We start from the raw sequence: 21,067 nt of genomic DNA on the forward strand, positions 1-21,067 counted from the left end.
AGGGACCCTTCCTTACCCCCCATGCCAACTGGACTTTACATGAGTGAGAAATACAAGTCTGTTGTGTTAAGACCCCATATTCTTAGGGGTTTTGTTTTAGTAGCTATTGTTACTTAAGCTGACTAAAATGGGATTGAGGGGCCCTGTGGGTATCAGGAGTTAGCAGGGAGGATATGGGGATAGGAGAATGGGAAGAAATAAGAGAAGGGAGAGGAGAAAGCCCAAATCATGGTAGAGATGAAAGAGTCAGAGAATGCCAGATGGAGAGAAAATAACAGAAGAGGTGGCAGGTGTGGTGGCTCATGCTTGGAATCCCAGCCCTTTGGGAGGCTGAGGCAGGAAGATCGCTTGAGGCCAGTAGTTTGAGACCAACTTGAGCAACATATCAAGACCCCCATCTCTACAAAAAATAAAACAATCAGCTGGGTACTTACACAGAATATTTATGAAGAAACAAGAACAAAAATTCAGCTGGGGCCAGGCACCAGGGGCTTATGCCTGTAATCTCAGCACTTTAGGAGGCTGAGGTGGGAGAATCACTTGAGCTCAGGAGTTTAAGACCAGCCTAGGCAGTACAGTGGGACCCCATATCTACAAACTTTTTTTTTTTTTAATTCACTGGGCATGGTGGCATGCACCTGTAATCACAGCTACTCAGGAAGCAGAGGTGGGAGGATCATGTAAGCCTGGGAGGTCAAGGCTGCAGTTAAAAAAAAAAAAAAAAAAAAGCTGGGTACAAAAGCATAATATTTATGAAAAAAAAATTAGCTGGGTGCAGTGTCGCAGGCCTGCAGTTCCAGCTCCTCAGGTGGCTGAGGCAGGAGGATCCCTTGAGCCCAGGAATTTGACTTTGCAGTGAGCTAGTATCAAGACACTGTACTCCAGTCTGGGTGACAGAGCAAGACCCTGTCTCCTGAAAGAAAGAAAACAACAGAAGAGAGAAATAGATCAAAGAAAGAAACAAAGCCCAGGATTGGGTTAGGGAACGAGGCAAGACCTTGCTCTCTACAAAGCACTTAAAAAAAAAACCAAAAAAACCAAAAGGGCTTTTTTTCAATGGTTGTTTAAGACTCTGATAACAAGTTGGAGGAGGCAAATGGTCAGAAGATGAGATGTTTATAGAAGATGCTGGGTTGACCCCCTTATTTTACAAGCTCCTTCCCCTACAACTCAGCAGCACAGACCCTGTCTCCTCTGGCCCAGGGTTAGTCTGACCCAGAGACAAAAGCTGAAAGGAAAAGAAAGACCAGCCAGATAGAGGTCAGGGTGCCCCTGGAAGCCTCCCAGGGGAGGATGATGCAGCCTTACCTTGTCCAGGTAGATGATGAGGGTGTTCCTATCGGAGAAGGCTTTGTCCAGCTCATACTTGGAGATGTATCTGTCAACACCATTGGCCAGCTGGGGAAAGGTGGAGCCTGTGAAAAATCCCTCCTGGACCCCTCTCTCCCTGCAGCCTCTTCCAGAACCCAGGCTCCTTTCCACTTATCCCAGCTCCTGAGCCCTTCATACCTGCTTCAGGTCATCTGTGTCTGGAGCAAAGCCAGTCATCATGGATATGTCCAATATAGACATAGTGGCATCCTGGTCTCCCCGGTACCTGGATAGTGCAGAAAGAAGGGCATTGGGTCCCAAGGAGGGGTCAGCCCCAAGGGTCTGTTCCTGGACAAGGAGGTCTGATCAGGCACTGAGACTTCTGATTCCCACATAGCAGCACAGAGGGGCGTTACATTTTTTAGGAAACATTTCCCCAAAGGAAATAAAAAGCAAGGTAATGTAATGGTCAAGGTGATTAAGAGCTCAGACTCTGCACCCAACTGCATGGATTCAAATTCCAGCTCTAAATAACATTGGATGCATTATTTGACCCTCCATGCTTCAGTTCTAGAAAACAAGGCAAGAATACAGGCAGCCCTCACTCTGCATGATTCAGTTAAATAACACTAGTAGCCCAGTGACATGGTTCTTTTTCAGTACCTTGGTATATTGATCACGAGTAGTTGCATATGGTATAAACTTTGTTGCTAACTCTTCAGTCTAGAAATCACGACATAAATAAAAGATAAGCATCATAATTGAGGGCCAATTACTGTCACTCCTTTCAAAGTCCATCAGTGATTGGTCACTGAGCTTCTGCTCTTCAATTTATGCACAGACAGCAAAGTGTGTAGTTCTGTTGCCTCCCTGTCTCCAGGTGGCTAACTCCCATGAGATTTTACAACAATGTATCACGAAAAGAGGGAACTGGCCAACAAAGATAAAAATGCAGCAAAGAAATGAAAAGTGATAATGCCAGAAGTGAACTTCAAAGACAGCATAAATGGAGTTATCAAAGAATAGCAGACTATGGTGATGTTGACCCTGCTGCCATTTGAGAGATAGGTAGTGTAGAGGAACTCAGGGAAGGCAAATGTATTAGCATAAATAAGGAAGGTCATGGGGACAAAAAGGATGAAGATGTCCCAGAGGAAGGGACATTATAGAATACAAAGTCACTTTAAAGGAACTCTTGGAGGAATTTTGTGTCATGGAAAGCTCAAAGGATAAAATATTGGAAGCTGATCCAAACTTAGAAAGGAGCAAGACAAGGTACTAAGGCATAGAAAAGATGTTTACTCCATGTTGTAAATTATACAAAGAGAAGAAGGCAAGCATTTTTTTGAACTAAAGTACTCTCCGTAAGTGTCATACAAAGGAAAAAAAAAACAACAAATACACCTTGCATCTCAATGTTCTAATGTTTTAAATTACGGTGTAGTCAAATACTCATCTTACTATGAATTTCATTTCCCTGTATCTTTATTTTGTTTTATTCTATTTTTTTTTTTTTTTTTTTTTTGAGACAGAGTCTTGCTCTTTCGCCCAGGCTGGAGTGCAGTGGCGTGATCTCAGCTCACTGCAAGCTCCGCCTCCTGGGTTCACGCCATTCTTCTGCCTCAGCCTCCCAAGTAGCTGGGACTACAGGCACCCGCCACCATGCCCGGCTAATTTTTTTGTATTTTTAGTAGAGACGGTGTTTCACCGTGTTAGCCAGGATGGTCTCGATCTCCTGACCTCGTGATCTGCCCGCCTCAGCCTCCCAAAGTGCTGGGATTACAGGCGCGAGCCGCCACACCCGGCCATTTCCCTGTATCTTTATAACTGGCAGTATGATAATTTTAAATGTTGTAATAGAAACATTTAGGCTGGGCATAGTGGCTCATGCTTGTGATCCCAAAACTTTGGCAGCCCAAGGCAGAGGAATGCTCAAGGCTAGGAGTTCGAGACCAGCCTGGGCAACACAGTGAGGCCCTGCCTCTAGAAAGAATAAAAAATAAAAATCAGCCAGGTGTCATGGCACACGCCTGTAGTCCCAGCTACTTGAGTGGCTGAGGCAGGAGGATCGCTTGAGCCAGGGAGTTTGAGGTTACAGTGAGCTATGATTGTGCCACTGCACTCCAGCCTGGCTGACAGAGCAAGACCCTATCTCTCTAAAAAGAAAAAAAGAAAACTTTAAAGGTCATGGAATGATTGTGTACTTTCCTCCATTGATTACTAAGATGCTTTGACAGTCTCAGCTTACGTGGTCATTGCTGTGGTCTCACATTAACATGCAAAGCAAGGACTGTCTGTGTTGTCTACCTCATGGTGGATACTTAGAACAGTATCAGATACACAGTGTACTTGGAAAGTACTGAATATCATGGATATTATTTGCAAGAATTCTTGCTAGAGATAGAGGGATGGCCAAGATGAACCCCGGTGACCTAGCTTCTTACCTGGTACAGATCTCAAGGATCATAGTGTTCTTGGCATCCTGAGGCCTCTTTTCTAGAAACACAGAAGAGAGAAAGATGGGAGAGGGTATACCTGTGTGTTGATTCAGGAGCGGGGAAGACATTAGAAGAGGGGTAGGAGGAAGGTGACAGATAAGGCCTTGATTCCTTTTACCTGTTTCCGGTGCTGGTTTTATGGTGACCTTGAGGTCGAATTTATTACAGGTGAGTTGATCTTTGGCCTTAGCATGGTACATTGTCACCACCTGGTAAGATGGGAGAGGAGACACAATGTCAGCCCACAGGACTAGGACTGCTGGGGACAAGAGGAGATGGTCCCTCTGGGGCAGAGGGGCATGGGCCAGGCAGGTGTGGGTTTCTGTTCCTTACCGACAAGGTGCCTTGGCCTTTTCCTTCAGCTGTGACTGTGAAACCCTCATTTTCCTTGGTCTGCAGAGTGAAAAGAGAGAAGAGAGCATGTTGGGAATTAAGCCTTCTGCTGCCTGTGATGGTCACCTGGCCCTCCCTCTTGCTTCCCAGTAAACCCTGGCTAGTGTAGGGGGAGACAGCCAGAGTGAGGAGGGCTTGGCTGGGTGACTGTACCTCTTCTGATCGCAGGAGGCTGGCAGATTCCCAGTGGATACGGTGGGTGATCTTGGAGCTGCGGCTGGGCAGTTGGAGGGACACATCAAGGTTCAGTTCCTGGTGGTCAGGGGCGTCCTTTTGGTATTGAGCCAAGGCTTGGAACACCATGAAGGTGGCCTAGAACCCACAAGAGAGAAAGATGGTGATCTGGGAGCCTGGGAAAGTGGCTAGAATCCAGTGGGGGATAAAGAGGTTCAAATCAGAGCTGGGACATCAAAATGTGGCCTAGAACCTACTAGAGAGTGCAGGGGTGATAACTGGAGGTCACTGGACTCTGAGGACATGTTCAGAACTCTCCGAGAGACAGAAACTTACACCAGGACTTGGAGATGCTGAGAACATGTCTAGAATCCATCAGAAAGTCCAAATGTAAGACTGAATGTCTAGCGACCCTGAGGATGCAGTCTAGACCCATCAAGAGGAGAGAGTCTTAGACCAGGGCTTGGAGACACTGAGAATATGTCTAGAACCCACTCATGAAGAACAGAATGAAACCGTAGCCAGAGGATACTGAGCATATAATCTACAACCCAAGAGTGACACTGTAACACTGAGAACGTGAGTGACAGACCACCAGAAAGAAAGGAGGCCAACTGGAGCCTGAAGTTGCTGAAGCCTGAAGTTACTGAAACCATGGCCTAGAAGAGGGTTTGCGTAATGCCCCAGGGTAACTGGGAACATACTATAGAGCCCGCCAGTGAGGCAATGTGACATTGGGAGCCTGGTAGAACTGGGAACATGGTCTAGAACCCACCAGCAAGACAGGGTAAGATTGTGAGATAGAACTGGGAACCTGGTCTAGAGCCCACCAGGTGGAGAGAGAGGCTTAGACCTGAACCTGGGCCCTGAGAACATGATCTAGACACCTGGGGCAAGAAGAAGGCTCAACACACAGCTTGGAGTACCCAGATTGTATTCTAGAACCTATAGATGGGTTTGCAAGTAATAAAAACTGATTCTCAACTCCACTGCAATCACACTGGCTCGTGGGAATGAAGAACTGCCTCGCTGGGCCTCAGTGTCTTCTCTAGGAGGCCAGTGGGAAGCCGCAGGAGACAGGGATGCATGTGCCTAGGGGCTGTGGGCCCACTTGCCTGGGTAGAGCCATAGCCACCACCGTAGTATCTCTGTTCATTGAGCCAACGCACGACGGGAGGCACAAAGTCAAAGTCTTTTAGCTGCAGTAGGGCCAAGAGGGCATAGGATGTGGCCTCCACGTTGTAGAGCTGCTTACCAGGGTCCTCCCAGCGGTTCTTATCTGCAAAGAAGATACCCCATCCCCAGTGCTCACTGCTCTGTCCAGCCTGGGGATGGCTCAGAGAAAGCTCAGAAAGAGATGCATGCTAGACTTCCTGGTGTTTGGGTGTCCTGGCTGACATTCGAGGCTCTCAATTACTTGGCTCCTGCCTTACCTCTCTTGTTTCATCAACTCTCACTTCTCCCTTTGAAATGAATGCTTAATACGCATTTGTTGAATAAATGACGCAACAAACTTTCTCGTGTGGTTTACAATGAGGACCTGCGAAAACTTAGAGCCGTGCATCCCAGCTCAGCTCAGGGTTATGCATCCCAGCTTGATACCTTAGGACTATCCATCTCAGCTTGGCTTAGGGTCATCTGTCCCAGCTCAGCTAAAAGCCATGCATCCCAGCTCAGTATCTCCCGCCCTGAACTTCAGCCATGCATCTCCCTTCACCCCTCCAGGCCAACCCTCACCTTTGGCTGTGGTCAGAAATTTGTTAAGAAGAGGCCCCTTCAGCCTGCCCATCTGGGCCAGAGCATAGCCAGCAATGGCCACAGTGTAGGATCTCTGTAGGTTCATGTAGTTGGCTTCAAGGAAGTCTCCTGCTTTAGTGATGCTGCCTGGCAGGCTCTATGAGAAAGAGGATCAGATTCTCCGGTCATGTGGGCATTGCTGTCACGTTAGTAAGGATCATTCGAGCAGCACTTCCTGAGCATCAGGGATTTCTGTCCTTGGGACACACCTGTCTTAGATTTGTCCATTTTTGAGAATTTCCCAGATATTTTAGCCACCATGAGCTGCCTTGTTGCTGCATATCTATTATGTATCTGGAGAAATCCACGTACCCCGTGGTGTGCTGGTAAAAGTTTAACAGCCAGCTCTCCAGTGGGAGGGTTGAGGGATCCTTGGTTTATAATGATTTACAATTTCTGTGGTGTAAATACTCCCACCAGGGGCCAATTTCACGGTGTCAATGCGACATCACTGAACAAAGTCCTGGGGAGACATTCTCCAAATTGTTACTCATAAACTAGTATGCGCCAGATTCAGTATACCACTGTGAACACCTCATCCAGTCATCATCATCATCGTCATCATCATCTTTATCTTCTTCATCATCATAGCTCACACTTACTTTGTGTCATTCAGATACCCACACATTTAATCTCATAAAACCTGATGAGCATACTGAGCCCTGAGAGATGCAGTAATTTTGCAAAGACCACCTAGGAAATAAGTGGCAGAGTTAGGATCCAAACACAGCCTTCTGGGGATGGGGGAAGACATGATTTGTACTGTTTTCTCATTTCCATGATGTAAATACTTCCATCACTGATTTCAACCTACCAATATGGTGTCGTTGAATGTAGAGTTGGGAAGAGCTTTGCAGTACCACAGTATTATATAGTATTTTCACTATACAGATCCAACAGACATAAGTAACCCCAAGAGTATAGATTATGGGAGTAAGGCGTTTAGGAAGCGATGAGTTTGAGTGTTTCTAACCTTTGTGTTTAATATAATTTATTTAACTGTAACTTTTATAACTTTGTTTGTTTGGTTGGTTGGTTGGGTTTTTTGTTGTTGCTTTTTTTTTTTTTTGAGACGGAGTCTTGCTCTGTCGCCCACGCTGGAGTGCAGTGGCGCGATCTCGGCTCACTGCAAGCTCCGCCTCTCGGGTTCAAGTGATTCTCCTGCCTCAGCCTTCCCAGTAGCTGGGACTACAGGCGTCCGCCACCGCGCCCGGCTAATTTTTTGTATTTTTAGTAGAGACGGGGTTTCACCGTGGTCTCGATCTCCTGACCTCGTGATCCGCCCACCTCGGCCTCCCAAAGTGCTGGGATTACAGGCGTGAGCCACCGCGCCTGGCCTTTTTTTTGAGACGGAGTCTCGCTCTGGCCCAGGCTGGAGTGCATGGCGCAATCTCGGCTCACTGCAACCTCCGCCTCCCGGGTTCAAGCGATTCTTGTGCCTTAGCCTCCTGCGTAGCTGGGATTACAGGCGCCCCCCTCCACCATGCCCGGCTAATTTTTGTATTTTTAGTAGAGACGGGGTTTTGCCATGTTGGCCAGGGTGGTTTTGAACTCCTGACCTCAGGTGATCTGCCGGCCTTGGCTTCCCAAAGTGCCGGGATTACAGGCTCACTGTGCCTGGCCTAATATTTAGTTTTTAATAATAATTGTATTTAATGACCAGCTTGAAAAATTCCTGGAAATTTAACACTGGGCTCCAGCAAGCTAGTTATAGCACACTTTTTTTTTTTTTGAAAAGGAGTCTTGCTGTGTTGCCCAGGCTGGAGTGCAGTGGCGCAATCTCGGCTCACTGCAACCTCCACCTCCCTGGTTCAAGTGATTCTCCTGCCTCAGCATCTTGAGTAGTTGGGATTACAGCACACTCTTGACCCCAGGAGTCTGGTTTCACAGCCTGTGCTATACTCTGCTACAATGTTGCTATGTTGTAGCAGAAACAAATCTCTTTTATTCCTGCCCATTTGCCTCTCTGACATCCACTCCTTTTGTAAGAACTTCTTCTCCCTTCCATTCACGTGGCCACAGTGGAAACAGCCATGTCTGCCCCCTGAGACCTACTTCCTGTCCTTAGCTGATTGGTCCAGATATAGTCATCTGACCCAGGCTGAGCCAATCAGAGTCCTTTCCTGGGAATATGGCGGCCCTAACCTTGATCTGATATTTTCTCTAAGGAAGGCAGCCATATTCTGCCTGAACTGAATTATTGGCCAAGAACGGAATGAAGATCACGGGAGAGAGGAGCAAAGCATCCTGGCAGAGTCCCTGAGGCCACCTTCATCTCTATTTGATGCCTTGGTGCCTGCACATAAATTCCCCATCAATTTTTGTATAATCTGGGTCACATGTGTGTTATATCTGGGACAACTCAGAGGCCTAAAAATACAGAGATCGTTATTTATTATCCCCAATTTACAGATGCACATCCTGAGTGAGGCTCAAGGGTGGAAGTGCCCATGAGTCAGGATTTGAAGTCAGATTTGTCTGACCCCACCTCTCCTCTCTCTCTCTCTCTCTCTCTCTACCTACCTCCCTCCCTCCCTCCCTCCCTCCCTCCCTCCCTCTCTCTCTCTCTCTCTCTCTCTCTCTGCCTTGGTCCCTCTTGGGTGTTAGAGGCAACAGCCCTGTGTTTGTTTTTCTCTTCACTGGCCCCTCCCCTCCATCTCTTTTCCTAAGGGGGGAGAAGCCACTAGCTGAGGGTGGAATCCTGGGCTTCCCACTTGGAAAGCTAAACGTTAAACAACCCACTCAAAACCCCACGATCAGCTAGGTGCAGTGACTCACGCCTGTAATCCGAGCACTTTGGGAGGCTAAGGTGGGTGGATCACTTGAGGTCAGGAGTTCGAAACCAGCCTGGCCAACATGGTGAAACCCCATCTCTACTAAAAATACAACAATTAGGCTGGGTGCAGTGGCTCATGCCTGTAATCCCAGCACTTTGGGAGGCCACGCCAGGCAGATCACCTGAGGTCAGGAGTTCGAGACCAGCCTGGCCAATATGGTGAAACCTCATGTCTACTAAAAAGACAAAAATTAGCCGGGTATGGTGGCGGGTGCCTGTAATCCCAGATGCTCTGGAGGCTGAAACAGTAAAGTCCCTTGAACCTGGGAGGCAAAGGGTGCAGTGAGCTGAGATCATGCCACTGCATTGCAGCCTGGGCGACAGAGTGAGACTCCATCACAAAAAATAAACAAACAAACAAACAACCACAATAAAGCAGACAAAGGCATTCCAGACTCTCAGCGGCCCATCTTTCCAAGCTTCCCTGCTTCAGAATCAAAACCAGAGGAAAAAGAGACAGTGATGAGCCAACAGTGTTCACCGTTTCCTGTTTGGAGTCACGGATCCCTTTGAAAATCACCTGAAAGATCCTCTGGACTAAGGAAATAGTCTTAGCTCTGTATCCCAAGTTTTCTTTAAGGAAGTAGCAAGTACGCAACTGTACTGATCATGTAGCACTGATGTAGAAAGCACTTTTGGAAATGGGCTGAAAACCCTCTGAAAATTGTAAGGCAGACAGAAAGAATCCCCACCTTTGATCTCTTTGTGCCTCAGTTTTCTCATCTGCAAACTGGGGATAATAAGAGTGACTTACCTTTCAGGCTGCTAAAAGGATTATGAGACTTAACATGTGAAACTATTAGAGGGCGGGTCTGTATTAGATGAGTTAAGTGCTCAAAAGATGTTAGCTATTAACATGACTGCAGTGATGTCTGTTATTGCACTGGGAGAGCTGCAAATTCCCTGAAGGCAACCTCTCACTCTCCAAGGTGGCTGTGCTCTGCATCGGGTAAGGTAGGGTAGGGTGGGAAGATGGAGGGCACTTACGTTGACCTGCTCCTCGCAAATATCTTTAGCCTCCTGCAGCGAGATGAGAACAAAGGCCGTGAGGGCCATGTCTTTCTCGTTGTTGTTCCGTAATCCACCCTGAGATAGAGAGCAGAAAGCAAGGATGGGGTCACCGGTGTGTCCACACATGGCAGTCATCCCCCCTTGCAGATTCAGAATCAGGGGGTCTGGGCAGGGCTGAGTCTCTTCTAGGTGTTACCCCGCTACCCTAGGAAGGTCAAACTTCTTAGTATTAATTCATGCAACAATTTGTTCCTTCTGCAAATGTCAATGTACAATGTGCAATGTACAATGGGTACAACGGTCTGATCCATTGTAAAACCAGACACAGGCTCTAGCCCTCACAGAGCTTTTGTCTAGTAGGGAAGATGGACATGGTCCATCCAGCTCCTCAAGAGATATACACTTTTTTTTTTTTTTTTTGGGACAGTTTTGCTCTTGTTGCCCAGGCTGGAGTGCAATGGCGCAATCTCGACTCCCTGCAACCTCCGCCTCCTGGATTCAAGCAATTCTCCTGCCTCAGCCTCCGAAGTAGCTGGGATTACAAGCATGCACCACCACACCAAGCTAATTTTTTTGTATTTAGTAGAGATGGGGTTTCCCCTGTTGGTCAGGCTGGTCCCGAACTCCTGACCTCAGGTGATCCACCTGCCTCGGCCTCCCACAGTGCTGGGATTACAGGCATGAGCCACTGCGCCCAGCCAAGAGATATATACTTATAAGTGGATGAGTTCTGTGCAAGGGAAAGAGGACATCGCAGCGATAATGAACTGTGGGAGTGTGACCCAGTTGGGGAGGTCAGAAAAAGTGTCCCTGAGGGAGTCAACTCTCACAGACGGCAGGGATTAGCATACTAGGTGGCAGAAACAGCATGTGCAAAGGCCCTGTAGAACAATAGAGCAAGGCTCCTATCAATGGATGGAGCCTGGAAAGAAAAGAAAGGCTGGAAGTCTGGAAGCCTGAAAGGTGAGACTGAGGCAGTGATTCTCCATCTCAAGCACACATTAGCATCACCTGGAGGAATGCGGGCACTTTTAAAAACTCAGATTCCTAGGCCGGGCGCGGTGGCTCATGCCTGTAATCCCAGCACTTTGGGAGGCCAAGGTGGGCGGATCACCTGAGGTCAGGAGTTCAAGACCAGCCTGGCCAACATGGTGAAACCCCGTCTCTACTAAAAATACAAAAATCAGCTGGGCATGGTGGAGCGGGCACCTGTAATCCCAGCTACTGAGGAGGTTGAGGTAGGAGAATTGCTTGAACCTGGGAGGTGGAGGTTGCAGTGAGCCAAGATCGGGCCATTGCACTCCAGCCTGGGTGACAAGAGCAAAACTCCATCTCAAACACACACACACACACACACACACACACACACACACACACACACACTCACACCCCTCAGATTCCTGGGTCCTGCCCCTAGAATTTCTGATTCAGTGAGTCTGGGGTCCGGTCTCAGAATATGTTTTGTTTTTGAGACAGGGTCTCACTCTGTTATCAGCCTGGAGTGCAGTGTCATGATCATGGCTCACTGCAGCCTCGACCTCCTGGGCTCAAGCCATCCTCCTGCCTCGGCCTCCCAAAGCGCTGGGATTACAGGCATGGGCCGTCGAGCCCAGCCACAGAATGCACATTTTTAGTAAGTCATGGGTGCTGTTGCTGCCGCTGGTCTGAGGATCACACTTCGAGAACCAGTGCTCGAAGGAGTTTTGTGTTTAAGTGCCACAGGGGGAGCCACGGGACTTTCTAAGAACTGATCCAGCTGGATTTGAAAAAATCACCCCAACTGCTATGTGGTGAGTGTCTGAGAGCCAACAAAAGTGGGAGGCCACCAGGATGATGACCAGGAGGTGGTTTCTACAAGGTCTCCAAATAAGGAGGGGCGGGGAGAGTGTTGCTTGGACCAGGGGCTGGCCATAAGGATGGAGAGAAGGAGGTGATTCTTATAACATCATGGGAGAATGCAGGTGTTGATGGATTGAATGTGAGAAAGGGATTCCCAGGCAGGACCCCTGCACTTGGTTTAATGAAATTCTTAATAATTTCTGAGCGAGGGGCCGTGTCTCTTCATTTTGCGCTGGGCTTCGCAGGTCTCTGGTTTTTGCAATGCTGGAGTGACGCCTCTGGCTCATATATCTGCCTGCCCCCACCCCCCAGCCCAATCTTTGCAAAGGGAATTGGGCAGTGGGCACATGGAGGTGGGGCTCTCTCTCGTGTTCATCCTGCGAGACTCAGGAGCCCCTCTCTTCCATTTTGCCCTAAATCCCAGCCTCTTACAATCATTTCTTGGTGTATCACGGGCGCATCCTCCTGGAAGACCCCGTCGGGCTTCTGCTTCTCCAGGATCAGCCATTTAACAGCCCCGCAGAGGACTTGGGAGTCGATGGCGATGAGGTTGACAGCCAGAGAGAAGACCTTGACCACGTAGGCGGTCAGCCTGGAGTGGGCACAGAGCATGAGCCAATCGGCTCTGAGATCCAGAGACTGCCATGTCAACCAGCCAATGAGCGTGGGGGAGGGACCAGGGCCTGGCCCAGTTTGCCTGGTTTGCCTTCCCAGGCCCCAGGACCCAGCTGTTGTATGCGGTCCGTGCTTAAGGATGCTTAATGACCGCCGGCCACTCAGCCAGCGCTTGCCTGGACTCTGCAGGTCCAGGGCTGTTTGGGCAAGGCTGGCCTAAGGGACCACCCCTGGCCAGGGTCCGGGCCCTGCTGGGGGTTGAGGGTGGGGAGTATGCATGGCCTGAGCTGGCTGTTGGGACTCACCAGGTGCTGGGTGCCCGTTTCACGAAGGCCGCAAAGGCAGAGCTGGGTTGTCTGAAGGCCAGCTGCTGGGTGTACCCTGCAGAGAAGAGAGAGGAACCCCCAAAAGAGCCGGGGCTGAGCAGAGGGGGCACGCCAGAAAGGGCAGGGGCGGGGTGCAGAGAGGGGACAGGGGCTCAGGGTGGCGGAGGGGTTCTGGGAGGAGGGGACCTTAAAAAGGGAAGGACTCAAAGAGGGTGGGGGATCAGAACGAGGAGGTGGAAAAGTTCTCAAGAGGACAAGGGATTCAGAGAGGAGAAGGATATTGAGGGTGGGGGGCTTTCAGGGAGGGGAGGGCTCTCAGAGAGGGGGTGGAGTCTCAGGGAAGAGGCATGGCCTGGAGAGGACGTGGGGCCTCAGATGAGAGTGGCTGGGACAGGAGGTGGCGCCTCACAGAAGGGTGTGGCCTTGAGAAGATGTGGGGACCCAGGGGATGGGCGTGGCCTTGAAAAGAGGCAGGGTCTCGAGATTCTGGCCTGGGAGGAGTCAGGGCCTCAGAGGGCGTGGCCTTGAGAAGAGGTGGGAGGCCCTCAGGGGATGGGCATGGCCTTGAGGAGAGGCGGGGTCTCATGAAGAGCCTGGCCTGGGAGGAGTCAGGGCCTCAGAGGGCGTGGCCTTGAGAAGAGGTGGGGGGCCCTCAGGGGATGGGCATGGCCTTGAGGAGAGGCGGGGTCTCATGAAGAGCCTGGCCTGGGAGGAGTCAGGGCCTCAGAGGGCGTGGCCTTGAGAAGAGGTGGGGGGCCCTCAGGGGATGGGCATGGCCTTGAGGAGAGGCGGGGTCTCATGAAAAGCCTGGCCTGGGAGGAGTCAGGGCCTCAGAGGGCGTAGCCTTGAGAAGAGGTGGGGCCTCAAATGAGGGGAGTGGCTAGGAGAGAAGGTGGAGCCTCAGGGGAGGGCGTGGTCTTGAGATGAGGTGGGATCTTAGGGGAGGGATGCGCTCGGAAAGGGGTCCCTGGGGTCTCCAAGAGGGGCAGGGAGCCCACCCTTCTTGATGAGCTCCAAGGCCCCCTGCCGCTTCTCTAGGCCGAACTTCTCCCACTGCTCCGTTTCATCCAGGTAATGCACAGCGATGACCGTGGGCGTCATGCCGATCATGTTCTGTTCCCCGCAGCCCGAGGGGGTCACAATGAGGTGCTTCAGCCGTTCCGCGTCGACGGCATCCTCTGTCATCTGGGCCACTGGGGTCCCTGCAGCAGGTGGGAAGAGGACGTTGCTCAAGCCAGGTGGGTGACCCACCTTGGGGTGGCGTGAAAAGGGTTCCAGCCTCCCAACCAGCCAGGGCCAAGGGGTTAGGGACAGGCGAGGACTGGGGAGGATGTGACTGCGGGGAGGGGAGGCTGCATGGCTGAGTGGCTGTTCGGGGGTCTGCACTGTTAGGAGTGGGAGGTGCTTCACAGGGGCACCCTGGTCCTTGGGTCTCATTTCACCAGCAGTAAAATAATTCCAGTAACAATATTCAGGAATACTTATATCACGCTTAATGTTACTTTCCAGACTGTTCTAAGAGAATACCATAGAGTGTCTCACTTAATAGTCAACGAGGCTGGGCGCCGTGGCTGAAGCCTGTAATCTCAGCACTTTGGGAGGCTGGGGTGGGTGGATCACCTGAGGTCAGGAGTTCAAGACCAGCCTGACCAATATGGTGAAACACCGTCTCTACTAAAAATACAAAAATTAGTGGGCATGGTGGCGGGCGCCTGTAGTCCCAGCTACTTGGGAGGCTGAGGCACAAGAATCACTTGAACCCGGGAGGCTGGGGTTGCAGTGAGCCGAGATCACGCCACTGCACTCTAGCCTGGCGACAGAGTGAGACTCCGCCTCAAAAAAAAAAAAAAAATCATCACACCAACCCTTGGAGGTAGATACTATTATTCTACCCCTACCAAAGGTGAAAAAACCAAGGCTCTTGCCCCAAAGCCTTATAGCTTACAGGTTGCAAGTCCCTTTCTTTCTCCAGTCTTCCCTCCTGGGGCAAGAAATGACCTCCAGAATTTCTGCTCTTGTACTATGTTGCTTGTCTTTTTGTTTGTTTGTTTGTTTGTTTTTGTTTGAGACAAAGTCTTGCTCTGCCGCCCAGGCTGGAGTGCAGTGGCCTGATCTCGGCTTACTGCAACCTACGCCTCCCACGTTCAATCGATTATCCTGCTTCAGCCTCCCGAGTGGCTGGGATTACAGGCATGTGCCACCACGCCCAGCTAACTTTTGTATTTTTAGTAGAGACAGGGTTTCACCATGTTGGCCAGGCTGGTCTCAAACTCCTACCTCAGGTGGTCTGCCTGCCTCGGCCTCCCAAAGTGCTGGGATTACAGGCTATTGAGTCTCATTTAAGCTGGTTTCCCATCTAAGAAGCACAGAAGGTCTAGAAAAATTAAAATAAACTGATGTATCAGCGAAAGCTCTTTGCTGAACTAAATGCTATCTGGAGGCTTCTATAAAACCGATCATAGCAAATAATATCTGTATGGTTAAAAAAATTTTTAGGCCGGGCATAATGGCTCATGCCTGTAATCCCAGCACTTTGGGAGGCTGAGGCGGGTGGATCACGAGGTCAGGAGATCGAGACCATCCTGGCTAACACGGTGAAACCCTGTCTCTACTAAAAATACAAAAAAATTAGCCGGGCGTGGTGGCGGGTGGCTGTAGTCCCAGCTACTCGGGAGGCTGAGGCAGGAGAATGGCGTGAACCCGGGAGGCGGAGCTTGCAGCGAGCTGAGGTCGCGCCACTGCACTCCAGCCTGGGTGACAGAGCCAGACTCTGTCTCAAAAAAAAAAAAAAAAAAAAATGTAAAAGAGGGAAAACAGATCACAGATGGGCTGTTCTAGCTGAAGGGGAAGAGAAAGGTGCGGGTTAAACACCTCCAGAATGAGATGGAATTTGGCTCCATCCATGCCCTCCTGGGACCCATGGGGTCGGGGTCAAGGGTGTCTCACCTTGCAGGAGAATTCTGGTCTCAGACTCGGTGTCCGGGACTTGGTCACTGAGGTCTGCAGGTGGGATGTCCTCTTTCTGCACTCCTTCTGCAGGGTGAGTGAGAGATACCGATGGCTCTAGCTCCCTCCCGCCCTATCCTACCTCACTAAACCCAGGTCATTTACCCCCCTTACCCTGCCAGCCCCTCAGCCCCTCCCCCTGCAGCCGACTCACCACGGCCCAGGCGTTCTGGATCCAGGGTGCGAACAGCCACAGTTTTGTTCATTCTGATTCCTTCCGGCTACGCAGTGTTAGAGGTGGGGGGAGTCGTTGGATGAATAAAAGAACAGACAGACACACAGATGGTCAGCAGGGCACTGTCCTTAGGATCACCCTAGCATTGCCGGGCGCGGTGGCTCGTGCCTGTGATCCTAGCACTTTGGGAGGCCGAGGTGGGTGGATCACGAGGTCAGAAGATCGAGACCATCCTGGCTAACACAGTGAAACCCTGTCTCTACTAAAAATACAAAAAAATTAGCCGGGCGTGGTGGCTGGCGCCTGTAGTCCCAGCTACTCGGGAGGCTGAGGCAGGAGGATGGCGTGAACCCGGGAGGCGGATATTGCAGTGAGCTGAGATCGCGCCACTGCACTCCAGCCTGGGGAACAGAGTGAGACTCTGTCTCAAAAAAATAAACAAACAAATAAATAAATAAATAAAAAATTTCAAATCGAGTATAAAAAAATTATTGATTGGTGATGGTCGACGAGGTTTTTGGCACCACCTAAAATTCTAAGCCTGGGGTCATCTCACTCACTTTACCCCAATCCTGGCTCTGCTTCTGAAATTCTGGGACTTCCAAATTTCCTAAGCTGGACACTATGATTCTTAGTGTCTCAGAGCCTGGATCTCCAACCTGAGTCAATAGTACGAAGACCAGGAGCCCTCTCTGAAGGACAAGGGTTTGTGGGTGCCCCAAGCACTCACCACGACCTTCAGGGACTTCCTGACACCGTCACTGATGAAATGATGGTAGACAGCAGCCTTGACTTCCACTTCCTGCAGGCCGGTCTTTAGCGGCACGATGACATATGGAACGGACAACGAGGACTTGGGGGGGATGGTTACGGTCTGCTGGTGACGCCTCTTGGTGGTGGCCAGGCTGCAGAAGGCTGGATTGTGGAGTAGTTCCACCCTCACCTGCCAGGGAGAGAAAGGATCCGGGCAAGTGTGTGTGCAACAGGCTACCTACCCCCTGGCAGCCTCCAAGAAGCCTCTGCCACCCCGGGACCCACCTTGAGCTCTTGGTTCTGCCGGTAATTGTAGAGAACGGCTCGGATTTCCACCTGCTCGTTTCGAACAACAGAGTAGGGTAGCCGCAGGTCGATGAAGAAGTCCTGCATTACTGTGACCTCGAAGGGGTCTGCCACACAGATCCCTGCTCGGGCAGAGACAGAACACGGAGTGTCAAGGTCGGGGAGTGGACAAGGCCAGGCTCCTGGGTCTCAGCTCTTAGTCCACTCCGCAGGAGCTCTCCCTAACTCAGCCTGTCTTTGCTGAAGCCTGTGAACTAAACGCTGTCAATGGCGACAAATGACAGATGATGATGGTGGTGGCTGGGAGTTACCATTATTTATTATTATTATTATTATTATTATTATTATTATTATTAATTATTTGAGACAGAGCAAGACTCTGTCGCCAGGCTGGAGTGCAGTGGCGCCATCTCGGCTCAACGCAACCTCCGCCTCCTGGGTTCAAGCAATTCTCCTGCCTCAGCCTCTCGAGTAGCTGGGACTGCAGGCACGCACCACCATGTCCAGCTAATTTTTGTATATTTAGTAGAGATGGGGTTTCACCATGTTGGCCAGGATGGTCTCGATCTCTTGACCTCACGATCCACCCGCCTCAGCCTCCCAAGTGCTGAGATTACAGGCGTGAGCCACTGCGCCTGGCCGGAGTTACCACTATTTAATGATTTACATTCTGTTTGTAGTTTGACTCAGAGATCTACGTGTAGGGAGGAAGAGAAATCTCCAAAATATATCTGCTTGTCTGATATGGTAGCCCCAAGCTGTGGGGGAGCGCTGAGCACTTGAAATGGGGTTTGCCTGAGTGAGAAACTGGATTTGTACTTTTATTTGATGTACTTGTATTTAAATGTATTTAATTTAATTCAGACTTAAACTTTAAACCTGATGATCTAGCTAGGTGCGGTGGCTCATGCCTGTAATCACAGCACTTTGGGAGGCTGAGGCAGGAGGATTGCTTGAGCCCAGGAGTTCAAGGCTGCAGTGAGCTATGATCGCACCACTGTGCTCCAGCCTGGGCAACAGAGTGAGATCCTGTCTGTAAAACCAAACCCAATGAAACAAAACAAACAACTGATGCTCATTTTAAATATATGAAACACCACTGAATTATATATTTTATTATTTTTTATTTATTTATTTTTTGAGATGGGGTCTCGCTCTGTCACCCAGGCTGGAGTGCAGTGGCGTGATCTTGGCTCACTACAACCTCTATATCCTGGGTTCAAGCAATTCTCCTGCCTCAGCCTCCTGAGTAGCTGGGATTACAGGCACCCACCCGCATGTCCTGCTAATTTTTTGTATTTTTAGTAGAGACAGGGTTTCACCATGTTGGCCAGGCTGTTCTCCACCTCCTGACCTCAGGTGATCTGCCTGCCTGGGCCTCCCAAAGTGCTGGGATTACAGGTGTGAGCCACCGTGCCCGACCTGAGTTGTACATTTTAAAAGGGTGACATATAGTAAGTGAATTAAATCTTAATTTTTTAAAAATGATGATTGAGTGGAAAACGTTTAAGTATTTTTGCAACTACTTGAGTATGAGGATCTACCTTTTCTTTCTCTTTTCTTTTCTTTTCTTTTTTTTTTTTGTAGAGACGGGGCTTTGCCATGTTGCCCAGGCTGGTCTCAAACTCCGACCTCAAATGATTTGCCGGCCTCAGCCTCTGAAAGTAATGGGATTACAGGCTTGAGCCTTTGCACCCGGCCTGAGAATCTACCTTTTCAACTGTAAATTTTATGAAACCTAAAATACAGATCAAAGTATTTCCAGTGAAAACCTAGCATCCTGCGCTGGGCGCGGTGGCTCACGCCTGTAATTCCAGCACTCTGGGAGGCTGAGGAAGGCAGATTGCTTGAGGCCAGGAGTTTGAGACCAGCCTGGCCAACATGGTGACACCCTGTCTCTACTAAAAAAAGAAAACTTAGCATCCTGTTTACACCACTGCACTCCATCCTAGGTGACAGAGCAAGCTCCTGTATCAAAAAAAAAAAAGAAAGAAAATCTAGTATCCTAAATGAGATGCACTGAATTGTAAAACACATGCTGGATTTTGAAGACTTAGTGCAAACAGAAGTAAAATATATCATCAGTAATTTTGATATACTAGTAGATTATTATCAAATATTAAAAGGTTATAGTCACATTATTAGTGGGTTGTGGTTTTGCAACTTTTTACAAAATGTTGAAATGATACTATTTTGGGTATATTTAAATTAAATAGAATGTTTTGTAATAAGTTATGATATGGTATAATTATAGATATGTAATCAATAATAAATGATACATCATTTATATTATATATCTAATAAAATATACATTATATATGTTAACATGTCAACAATAACAAATGACATATTAGTAGTAAATTATAATTATACATTACAACAAAATTAAATTATAATAAATTATGGTTTATTATAATGTATTAAATTATAATGAATTATGGTTTATTATAATTCATTAAATTATATTATAATTAAATTTCTTATAAATTATAATACATATTATATGTTTACATAATATATTACATGTGTAATATGTATATATTACATATATATTATATATGTAATATACAATATATAATATATTATATATGTAATATGCAACATATAACATATTATATATGTGATATGCAATATATATTATATGTAATATAACATATTACATGTAATATGTAATATATGATATATATGTAATATGATATATTATATATGTAATATATGATATATATGTAATATGATATATTATATATGTAATATATGATATATGTAATATGATATATGTAATATATATGTTATATATGTAATATATAATATATGTAATATGATATATTATATATGTAATATATAATATATGTAATATGATATATTATATATGTAATATATAATATATGTAATATATGATATATTATATATGTAATATATAATATATGATATATTATATATGTAATATATAATATATGATATATTATATATGTAATATATAATATATGATATATTATATATGTAATATATAATATATGATATATTATATATGTAATATGTGGTATGTTATATATGTAATATGTGGTATATAATATATTGCATATGTAATATGTGATATGTAGATATGAAATATATTATGTAATATATAATTATATATTATAATTATAAACATTACAATTAATAAATATATAAATAAATATTATAATTAAATTTATTATAAATTATAATAAACCATATAAATTATGGCTGGATGACCGAGTGAGACTCCTTCTCAAAAACAAAAGAAAGAAAGAAAAGCATCAATTTTAGAGACTGTACCCCCACCCTGTCTAGCTTTTGACACTGTTAGAGTAGGCAGATAGGCGGAAATGAGCAGGCAGGGGAGCTTTCTGGGAAAAGAAGTCCCAGACAGGCTGCCTACTGACAGCGCTGCTCACTGGCAGTCAGCGAAAAGGACGATGGCTACTTTAGCTACACATGGCCTTGTGGTTGGGGTCCTCTGGCCCTGAAGGGGACTTATCAGGTCCTAGCTGGAAATAACTTTGCTAGGGATTTTCCCCGATGATGAGCATGTGCACTGCTCCGAAAACACCCTAGAGTTGTGTTTTGCTCATTATCATAGTAAAAAACACACCTCTGGGTGGAGATTTTCGATGCTAATGAGACATGCCACGTGCATGCTAGTACCTACAGCCACAGAGCCTGCTCGCCCAAAGAGACCTCCCAAAACATGCTTACAAGTGACACCCACTCACGCCCCTTCACGAAAAATCATGTAAGAGTCTCATAAAAAGAGTCTACCAGCAGTATCTGCTGCTGGCTCGTTCTGTTGAGCAGCCATGTCTGTGTCGTCTTTCAGAGCATACGGTCACTTTTTATTTATTTAGAGAAGGAGTTTTGCTCTTGTTGCCCAGGCTGGAGTGCAGTGGCACAATCTCAGCTCACCGCAACCTCCACCTCCCGGGTTCAACCAAATCTCCTGCCTCAGCCTCCCGAGTAGCTGGGATTATAGGCGCCCGCCACCCCCTGCCTGGCTAATTGTTTTGTA

The 21,067-nt window shown here is 47.7% G+C and overlaps 1 protein-coding gene across 1 annotated transcript in view, besides 3 other annotated features; it reads right to left on the reverse strand.

Moving 5' to 3' along the window:
• C3 (complement C3) overlaps positions 1-21,067 on the reverse strand; it is a 42,947-nt gene that overhangs the window by 2,929 nt on the left and 18,951 nt on the right. Inside the window, exons 20-35 of the mRNA NM_000064.4 lie at positions 17,020-17,162; positions 16,712-16,924; positions 15,961-16,027; positions 15,747-15,833; positions 13,799-14,002; positions 12,780-12,855; positions 12,292-12,451; positions 9,997-10,095; positions 6,114-6,270; positions 5,492-5,655; positions 4,356-4,514; positions 4,143-4,202; positions 3,928-4,018; positions 3,756-3,807; positions 1,510-1,597; positions 1,309-1,398 (exon numbers count right to left, since the gene is read on the reverse strand). Coding sequence (NP_000055.2) covers positions 1,309-1,398; positions 1,510-1,597; positions 3,756-3,807; positions 3,928-4,018; positions 4,143-4,202; positions 4,356-4,514; positions 5,492-5,655; positions 6,114-6,270; positions 9,997-10,095; positions 12,292-12,451; positions 12,780-12,855; positions 13,799-14,002; positions 15,747-15,833; positions 15,961-16,027; positions 16,712-16,924; positions 17,020-17,162 — 1,910 coding nt within the window. The remainder of the gene's footprint in view (positions 1-1,308; positions 1,399-1,509; positions 1,598-3,755; positions 3,808-3,927; positions 4,019-4,142; positions 4,203-4,355; positions 4,515-5,491; positions 5,656-6,113; positions 6,271-9,996; positions 10,096-12,291; positions 12,452-12,779; positions 12,856-13,798; positions 14,003-15,746; positions 15,834-15,960; positions 16,028-16,711; positions 16,925-17,019; positions 17,163-21,067) is intronic.
• Positions 7,946-8,240: a silencer, noted in NCBI's record as "tiled region #11629; K562 Repressive non-DNase unmatched - State 7:EnhWF". NCBI's record gives its function as "represses a minimal TATA promoter and a strong SV40 promoter by Sharpr-MPRA in K562 cells {active_cell/tissue: K562}" and the evidence as "EXISTENCE:reporter gene assay evidence [ECO:0000049][PMID:27701403]".
• Positions 16,360-16,861: an enhancer, noted in NCBI's record as "H3K4me1 hESC enhancer chr19:6697003-6697504 (GRCh37/hg19 assembly coordinates)". NCBI's record gives its function as "activates a minimal SCP1, AML or CMV promoter by ChIP-STARR-seq in naive H9 embryonic stem cells {active_cell/tissue: H9 hESC(naive)}" and the evidence as "EXISTENCE:reporter gene assay evidence [ECO:0000049][PMID:30033119]".
• Positions 16,862-17,361: an enhancer, noted in NCBI's record as "H3K4me1 hESC enhancer chr19:6697505-6698004 (GRCh37/hg19 assembly coordinates)". NCBI's record gives its function as "activates a minimal SCP1, AML or CMV promoter by ChIP-STARR-seq in primed H9 embryonic stem cells {active_cell/tissue: H9 hESC(primed)}" and the evidence as "EXISTENCE:reporter gene assay evidence [ECO:0000049][PMID:30033119]".

This window comes from Homo sapiens, chromosome 19, assembly GCF_000001405.40.
Source record: "Homo sapiens chromosome 19, GRCh38.p14 Primary Assembly".
In the NCBI taxonomy this organism is placed as follows: domain Eukaryota; kingdom Metazoa; phylum Chordata; class Mammalia; order Primates; family Hominidae; genus Homo; species Homo sapiens.